The sequence below is a fragment of the Homo sapiens genome, chromosome 2 (genome assembly GCF_000001405.40).
Source record: "Homo sapiens chromosome 2, GRCh38.p14 Primary Assembly".
NCBI classification, from domain to species: Eukaryota; Metazoa; Chordata; class Mammalia; order Primates; family Hominidae; genus Homo; species Homo sapiens.
In genome coordinates this window covers 66,817,934-66,827,782 of record NC_000002.12, presented here as the reverse complement: position 1 = coordinate 66,827,782, position 9,849 = coordinate 66,817,934, and the positions used below count along the sequence as shown (strand labels likewise).

Sequence of the window (9,849 nt, the reverse complement as noted above, 5' to 3'; positions counted from 1 at the left end):
GATCACATCCAGGCTCTGATCACATTAGTGTCTATTAACTATGCAGCAACCAATAAAATCTGCATGAGAGACTTATTCCATATATACTCCCTTAGTACAATTTATTAAAATAATGTAGACTATTAACGTTTAAACTAAATGTAATATATATATTTAATATAAAAATTCTCATTACTGTGATTAATAAAATTTTTGGTGTAAGCTGATATTTAGTTAGAGAAAATGAACAAGATAAGCCAACTGAACTATTTCACTTACATTAATTTAATTAAATATGACTTTTACATTATGTAGGATCACATACATACCACTGATAATTCTAACATATTTAAGGAATCAAAAAGTAGACCCACTATCAAAATTACAATTAAATCACTAATGGTCTTTCTTTTTTTTTTTTTTTTTTTTTGAGATGGAGTCTCGCTCTGTTGCCCAGACTGGAGTGCAAGTGGTGTGATCTTGGTTCATCGCAACCTCTGCCTCCTAGGTTCAAGCAATTCTCTGCCTCAGTCTTCTGAGTAGCTGGGATTACAGGTGCCCGCTGCCACGCCTGGCTAATTTTTGTATTTTTAGTAGAGACAGGGTTTCACCATGTTGGGCAGGATGGTCTTGAACTTCTGACCTCCCGCCTCGGCCTCCCAAAATGCTGGGATTTCAGGCGTGAGCCACCGCACCCAGCCACTAATGGTCTTTCTAGATAAAGCATACTAACCTCTCTCACTTTACTAGATAGGATCTCAAGAATTAAACAAGTTGAAAAGTAATACAGTAATACTGCTTGGTTTTCCTCCTTAAAAATCTCATTGTTTCAGTTTTTTTGTTTGTTTGTTTTTCCTTTTCAACTGCACTAGGGCTGTGTGTGTGTGTAGGGAAGAGACAGGGGCAGGAGGTCAGAGGCAGAGAGGAAGAGAAAGAGAGAAAGTAACAGACACAGAGAAAGGGAGAGGCAGATTCCATGCTGTTTCTGTGCATTATCTCTCTTTATATAGAAATCTTTCCCCAAATGATTTCAGGATGAATATGCTGGTCACATTCCACTTTCTTCCTTCTGACCTTGTGTCTCCAGCTGAGCTGACATACCTGCCCTGACAATTTCTAACTTTGTGACCTCTGGTAGATAAGATAACTACTTCAGCCTGGTTTCTCCATTAGTAAAATGGCAATGGTGTTGGAGGTGGCTTTGTAAGGGTTAAGTGAGATGGGTAGAAACAGTCCAGCCTTCAGTTGCTACCTCTCAGAGCTGGATGCCTCTGCAGCTGCCTCTGAAAATGTTGATTGACTAGTTGTCTTCAAGCATTAGCACACAGCCAGTGTGGCCAAATTATCTTCTACACTTCAAAAGTCTTCCCAAGACCATGGCCTTGAATCCACCCTATTGCTCTTTTCCGCTCTCCTTGTCTTCTGTGCTGATGGCATTCTGCTGACCCCTACGTTGTGCCGTGATGGTTAAGGACTAAAAGGTGGAAGAGGAGAGTGAATTGAGCACCAGTACTGGGGTCTGATGGATCTGTGCTTGAGTCTCAGCTTACTGACTGCATGGCACTGGGTAAGTATTTAGTCTCTTTAAGTCTTAGCTTTCATCTCTACTAAGTGGGATGACCAATAATTGTACTTACTAAAAGGGTTTTTGTGAATACTAAATGGTTACTGCAGATAAAGTGCTTACAAGTGTCTGGCCCATATTAAGAGCTTAATAGCAATACCATCAACAACAAATGAGACAGTGACTCCTAGAACAAAAGCACTGCTCTTTGGTGGCTGGATTATGCACTTGTGGTGAGTTTAGGACTTGGGGAGACCCAGAAACATGTCTGCAACTAGCAGAGTAGCTGGCAGTGTGAAGATTCCATTTCTGAGAAGAACAGAGAACTTTTTCTATATTATCCTGCTTCCCACAGTGAGGTAGAAAATGGGACATGGGAAGACTCCAACTCCATGTTCATTTTTTGACATTAACTCATTAAAAGAGAAAAAATCTCCTAAACCAACAAGTAGTGCCAAGGAAAGTCACTGATGCTCCCTCCTTAGGCTCTATCGGGTTATTTTTAAAGGGTCTGCTTGAGAATGACTGAAGCTACAAGTATAGCCAGAAACACAGCTACTTTCAGAGGGCAAGATCGAAGTGAAAAGATGAAAATTTGCCCCCTAAAAGTAGTCACTCTCTGAAATGCACCAAGAGCCCTGATGTTTGATAATCTGGTTTCATACCCCAAAGCAAGGTACTTCTGCCTCCATTGCTAAGAAGGGACAAGAATGAACTGAAAACAAAATGATGACTTTTGGGCCTACGATCAACACTAATTTTTGTAATTCTTAAACCAGGAGGAGAACCTGAACCCAGCCTGAATTATCGCCCAATCTCCTTAATAAATGTGGACAGGGAAATCTCAGTAAAGGTGCTGGCTAATAGGCTGGAACAGATATTCCCACACCAAATCCATCCCAATCAGGTAGATTTATTTGGAACAGACAGTGAGGCAATAATGGGAAGCAATTATTAAATGCAGTACAGTGAACTCCTGGAGACAGAGAAGGGCCCGTGGCTGCCATTCCACCTCCTTCTCTGAAGGGCCTTTGATCACCTAGCCACTCTGCCCCTCCCCTTCATTCAGCAATAATTTGGACTGAAGGCAGCATTGTTCAGGGGGAGCTCTCAGGACTCACAAGTCCTCCCCGCCCCTCTCAGTAACAAACTAGTTAATAGGACTTGCGTCATCACCTTTGTCAATTTCCCTTGCCCCATGACCCTTATTTCATTTCAAAGTTATGTTAGAAACCTGTAGAAGAGGCTTACTTCCTCTGTCAATAAACCCACTACTTCTAAGAATCTGTCCTTTCTTTGCATTGTGAGGTGCTATTTCGGGGTCAATAGCATGGGCTCTGGAGCCAGACTCTCCCTGATTTGAATTCTGGACCCAGTAAGTATCAGCTGGGCATATGACTTAGACTTCCTGTTTCAGGATTTTTTCCTGTGAAATGGGGATCATGTAGAATGAGCTTCACTGAGGTGTACAAATCAAACAAGCTCACGCAAGTCAAGAGCAAGTTAGTTAAGTTAGTGCCTGACACACAGTAAGTGCCCAATAAATTTTAGCAAGCATTATCATCACCATCCTCATCATTTTTGCAGGAGTTATCCATTGCATCTGAGACTCCCTAGTTCCAACTTCACAAGAAATTGATTTCATTTTAATAAATCATTTAATTTTAAGAAATCTCTCTTCTCTACTTTATTTTCTGAATTCCACATTCCTGAGTAAATCTTAGGTAAAACTCAGCTATCTGTGATTTTTTAAGTTATTTTCACTTGTTCAATATTGCCTCTAAAATTTGTTCAATGTCTCTTTCCCCCTCTTCTGGAGTATTCTTGGGTTATCCCCTAACAAAGCTTTATTGAAAAGCCTTAAGTTGCATCTATTTCATGCCCAATGATTATATTATCTTTTTCGCACTTTCCATTAGCTGATATATATATATATATAATCATGCCCGTGTCTCTATCATTTAACTTCTGGTTAATGTGTCAGTTCCTCTGCATTTGCTCTTCCTCCTGTCAATATTTCCTTTAAGTACATTCTCAGTTTCAGGTATGGAATCTGTGCCTCAGATTTCTGTAAATTGCCCCTACTTCTAAGTAAAGAGTCTTCTTTGGGTTTAAGAATATAGATAGATGGATGATAGACAGATAGACAGATAGATAGATAGATAGATAGATAGATAGATAGATACATAGATACATAGATACATAGATACATAGATACATAGATACATAGATAGTTTTCACTGATTTCCTGACAGGAAAGAATTGAATTATTGATGGCCCTTTTAGTATATGTTTAATATACTTCCACTTTTATATTTAAGAAGAAGAAAAGATAAATTTGGAAATATATATGCAATTTCATTATAAGGTGCTATTTAAGGGTCAATGGCATGGGCTCTGAAGACAGACTCCCTGATTTAAATTCTGGACCCAACATGTATCAGCGGGGCATATGATTTAGGCTTCCTGTCTTCAAGATCCTTAGCTGTGGAATGGGAATCATGTAGTATGAACTTCACTGGGGGGGTTGTACGAATCAAACAAGCTCACACAAGTTAAGGGCAAGTTAACTAAGTTAGTGCTTACCATATAGTAAGTGCTCAATAAATTTGAGCAATCATCGTCATCACCATCCTCATCATTTCTGCAGGAGCTATTCTTTATATACTTTGTATACATATATAGTATGTTTTATATACTTCCACTGATATCTTTAAGAAAAAGAAAAGATAAAGGTGGAAGTATATAAAGCATATACTAAAAGGAAAAGAAAATCACAAATTCTTTTACCTTCCAAAAATTCATTGACTTCTAAAAACTTACTGCATTTTAAAATAATGTATCTGTTGAAAATGATAACTTTAATAGGGCCTTGCAGATTAACTAAGTGCTTAGTAAGTTTTCTAAAGCTTTACAATGAACTGTACTGAGTCTATGATAAGTTCCAAGACTTTCTTCGTGGAAGTAAATAACATTCAAGTAAGGTCTTGAAGCATCAAGTGTAGGTGAGAAATGCATTCAGGGCAGAAGCTAAATGACCATGGGCCCAGAGGAAAGAATAATTTAGAGGCCTTTGGCAAGTCAGAAGTCCTGAGTAGAGCTAGGTATGTAGAGGTTATAGGATGAAGATTCTTTAAGGTAAGCCTGTTTTGCTTTGTTTTATTGTATATATATTTAAGCTGTACAAATGATGTTTGGAAACCTACACATAGTGGTTGTATACACTTATATATAGTGGTTAACCACATCCAAGCAAATTTACATATCCATAATCTCATATCTTTTAGCCATGTCTGAAAAGTTGGATGATGAGGTTGTGAAAAGCCTTGAGAGCTATGCCAAGGAATTTTGACTTCATCCCAGTATCTGGGTCAGGAGAGAGTCATAATCAGAGCAATCATCTGAGAGGATTCATCTGGATTAATAAGGGAAAAGGTAGGAGCAAGAGAGGAGACCCATTAGGAGGCTTCTGAAATGAGTTAGACAAGAAGTAATAAAGGTTTAAATGAGAGTAGTATCAGCTAGAAAGAAAAAAAAAAGGCATCGCATCTCATAGGGGTGAAATTGAAAGGACTTGGCAACTAATTGGATGTGGAATTCCAAGTAAAAAATGCTGAAGATGCTGAGCTGGACCTCAGAGGGCTACACCTGGCCTCATGGGCTGAGAAGAAAGGCCGAGGTCACTGCAGTAATGAATGCTATGGAAGAAAACTAGGGCTCAGAGGAGTCTGCAAAGGTGGAGGAGGCCAGCCCTGCTGCTGTGCGGCAGCCCAGCAACCCCACATCCCCCACTGTCGTTACCACACCTGAGCCTGTGGGGACTGAGGCTGGGAACAAGTACATCAAAGCAGGTGACGATGAACCAGAGTACAAGGACAGCTGGGGCTTTGGCAATGGGGAGCTGGTGTGAGGAAAACTGCAGGGCTTCTCCTGGTGGCCGCATTGTGTCTTGGTGGATGACAGGCCAAAGCCGAGCAGCTGAAGGCACCCACTGTGTCATGTGGCTTGGAGAGGTGAGTTCTCAGTGCTGTGTGTAGAGAAGCTGATACCACTGAGCTCCTTTTGCAGTGTGTTCCACCAGACCACCTATAATACAACAAGCAGCCCATGTACCACAAAGCCATCTACGAAGTCCTGCCGGTGGCCAGCAGTGTACAGGGGAGCTGTTCTCAGGGAGCCATGACAGTGATGAGAGTGACACTGCCAAGGATACAGAGGTGCAGAGCAAGCAGATATTCAGATGGACCTTTGGGGGGTTCCAGCCTTCTGCCCCCAAGAGACTGGAGCCACAAGAAGAGGAGAAGAATCCCAGCAAAGAAGTTTATGCACACGTGAGGGGTGACCCTGAGGCAACTGCTTAGGCACCACCCCCACCAGCCAAAGAGCCCCGAAAGAGCACAGCTAAGAAGCTCAACATGGGACCAGGCACAGTAGCTCACACCTGTAATCCCAGCACCTTGGGAGGCTGAGGCGGGCGGATCACGACGTCAGGAGATAGAGACCTGACATGGTCAGGCCAACATGGTGAAACCCCGTCTCTACTAAAAAGTACCAAAATAGCTGGACATGGTGGCATGTGCCTGTAATCCCAGCTACTGGGGAGGCTGAGGCAGGAGAATCACTTGAACCAGGGAGTCGGAGGTTACAGTGAGCCGAGATAGCACCATTGCACTCCAGCCTGGTGACAGAGCAAGACTCTGTTTCAAAAAAAAATAAAAAAAAAAGCTCGACATCAAGGAGATTGTTGATGAACACAGAAGAGTAGTTAGTGTACAAAGTGAGGAAGAAGTGCCAGAACATCAAGGACCTTTGTGTCTCTTGTGAGAGCCTCAATGTCACTCTGGAACAGCCCCTCTTCATGCTAGGAATATGACGACATTGCAAGAACTGCTTCCTGGAATATGCATACCAGTATGATGAAGAAGGCTATCAGTTCTGCTGCACCATCTGCTGCTGTGGGCACGAGGTGCTCATGTGCTGGAACAACTGCTGCAGGTGCTTTTGCGTGGAGTGTATAGACCTCTTGGTTGGGCCAGAGGTTGCCCAGGTGACCATTAAGGAAGATCCCTGGAACTGCTACATGTGTGAACACAAGGGCATCTGTGAGCTGCTGCAGTGGCGGGATGACTGGCCCTCTCAGCTCCAGATGTTCTTCCCCAATAACCCTAACCAGGAATTTGACCCTCTGGAAGTCTACTCGCCTGTCCCAGCTGAGAAAAGGAAGCCGCCCATCCAGGTGCTGTCTCTTTTTGACGGGATTGATATGAGGCTCCTGGTGCTGAATGGCTTGGGCATTTAGGTAGATCACTACATGTCTCAGAGGTGTGTGAGGACGCCATCATTGTGGGCATGCTGTGGCACCAGGGGAGGATCATGCACATCAGGGATACCCGAACCATCATACAGAAGCACAACCAGGAGTGGGGCCCATTCTCTGCAATGACCTCTCCATTGTCAACCCTGCCCACGAAGGACCCTACAAGGGCACTGGCCAGCAATTCTTTGAGTTTTCTCACCTGTGCATCATGCACAGCCCAAGGAGGGAGATGATCACCCTTCTTGTGGCTCCTTGAGAGTGTGGTGGCCATGGGCACTAGTCAAAAGAGAGACATCTCACAATTTTTTTATTCGAATTCCATGATGATTAATGCCAAGGAAGTGTCAGCTGCACACCAGAACTACTACATCTGTGGTAACCTTCCCAGTAAGAGCAGGCCATTGGCATTCACTATGAATGTAAGCTGGAGCTGCAGGAGTGTGTGGAGCATGGCAGAAAAGCCAAGGTCAGCAAAGCGAGGACCATTACTACCAGGTCAAACTCCATAATGCAGGGCAAAGACCAGCGTCTCCCTGTCTTCATGAATGAGAAGGACACCTTAGGTGCATTGAAATTGAAAGGGTATTTGGACTCCCTGTCCATTATACTGACATCTCCAACATAAGCCATTGGGCAAGGCAGAGACTGTTGCGTGAGTCATGGAGCATAGCAGTCACTTGCCAATTCTTCCCTCCACTGAAGGGGTATTTTGCTTGTGTGTAAGGGACATGGGGGCAAACTGAGGTAGTGACACAAGTTTAAACAAACTAAAAAAAAAAAAAACAAAACAAAACATAATAAAACACTAACAATGTAAGGAAAGAGAGAAGTATCAGCACCCAGAAGAGAAAAAAAGAATTCAAAACAAAAACTACAGAGGCAGAAATAACGGAGGGCTTCGCCTTGCAAAAAGGGTTGGACATCTTCTGATTTTTCAATGTTTTTCTTCAGTTCTATTTAAAAACAAAACAAGCTCCCTCCTCTTCCTCCTCCTCCGCCCTCTGCCTTTTTTTCTTTTTCTTTTTTTTTTTTTTTTTTTTGGTAAGAACTTTTGTTTTCTACTATTTTCCATCTATGTTGCTGCAAAGGACATTGATGCAGTTGGAGGCCATTATCTTAAGCAAATTAATGCAGAAACAGAAAATCAAATACCACATGTTCTCACTTATAAGTGGAAGCTAAGCATTGCGTATATATGGACAAAAAGAGGGGAACCACAGACACAGGGCCTACTTCAGGGTGGAGAGAGGGAGGAAGTTGAGGATTGAAAAACAACCTAATCAGGTACTATGCTTATTACCTGGTAAAATAATCTGCACACCAAACCCCTGTGACACACAATTTACTTATATAACAAACCTGCATATGTACCCCTGAACCTAAAACAAAAGTTAAAAAAAGGATGGTGGGATGTACTATGTCTTTTGGCTCCGAACCCACCTTTCTATGTTAAGCTTTGGGATGCTGGGCATGGGACTCTACAAACATCATTTCTCCTTGGCTAGCTGGCTTCCTACTGTGTTCTACTAATGGGAGTGACAGAAAACATCAAGAGGCAGAAGGGGCATGCTTCTTCCTGTTTGCTCACTGTTCTAGTCGGCATCACCCCAGCTACAGCCCTTCGCTTTGGAAATGGCAGTTATTTCCAATTTCCAGTTATTTTCCACTCCTAAAATCAGTCTCATGTTGCACCCCTTCAAGGTACTAGACGGGGCTCTTCCCAGAGGCCCAAGACCCAGCTTTGTAAAGACTTTTCTCCTAGTCTGTAGCTTCTAATAATAACAACCTTCCTCTTGAGCCTCAGATTGTTTTTAAGATACCTGACTTTGTAAACTGTACACAAAGTTAGTACACAGTAGTTATTAAAAGGAGAACAAAGACTATTTTTTTTCTAGTTGAGAATCAGGACAAGAAATTAGGTGGGTTGGATCATATTCCAAGGTCTGTACTTTCTTCCCATCTTCTCTGTGCTCAAAGCACTCATTTGCTACCTAGGCTCGAGAATGTCACCTGTACACATGATTTGGGGTCAACATGGTCCACATTGTCCTCATTTTGTCTATGCCTTAACTATTGGAACAGTTAAGAGGTAAACCCACCAAGCTAAGTAGACCCTTCCACCAGCACATCCAAGAGCAAGCATCTTGGTGGCACTCTCTTACTTAGACTTTCCTCTTCCAGTCCTTAATGGTGTCAGGCTTCCACAAGACACTGCATTCAACATTTGAGTTATTTTGCAAGAGAAAGTTTAAATCAATTGAAAAAAGCAGAATCAACTTCAACAAGAAATACAACAGGAAAGAGGAAAAAGGACTCTGTCTCAGTAATAATTAGGCTCGTCTTAAAATAAAATCTATTTTCTGAATGTACCATAATTTCTGAGGTTGGCAGACCTTGTTGCCTGTGCCTCATTGTTCTATCTGTCAAACTAAAGGCCATGAAAAGCTCTGAACCACAATGGAAAAAACACTTCAAGATCTAAAAATTGCTACCAAAGACCTCTCTGGGGGACACCATCTTCATGGAATCTCCAGAAAGAAGCCAGTCTGAGTCTTTAAGAAACTTAAGAAAAATTATGCAAATAACTCAACCTCAGCTCCAGGGACTTCCTCTTACTAAAATCGATGCTGACTCAAACACATAAAATGATTAGGACCACCTTTTCAGTATATAATACATGGTTTTGTTTCATTAACTAAAGAGCCCTGTGTTGTCTGAAACAACAGAGAAATTAAATTGATGTGAGTTGCTGTTTGGGCCTGAATTTTGAAAAGCTGTGCCTCTTAATTCTACCCTGAGTTTAAAATATGGCACACCTGGACAATCTGGTTTTCTCCAGGGAATGTACTAACTCTGGATTTTTTTATCCATCTGAAGTCCACCATATGGAACAACTGTGTCATTAAAATGGGTGTTAAAAAGATTTGTTCACTCAGCTACATTTAGACAGATAATAATATTTGGCAATTTTATATAGTGCCTTTCACCT

General features: G+C 41.9%; 1 pseudogene, besides 1 other annotated feature; it reads left to right on the top strand.

Annotated features, from left to right (window-relative positions):
• Positions 2,014-2,814: an enhancer, noted in NCBI's record as "VISTA enhancer hs1244". NCBI's record gives its function as "enhancer in: ear[5/8]" and the evidence as "EXISTENCE:transgenic organism evidence [ECO:0001131][PMID:17130149]".
• On the top strand, positions 6,266-7,858 carry DNMT3AP1 (DNA methyltransferase 3A pseudogene 1; annotated as a pseudogene).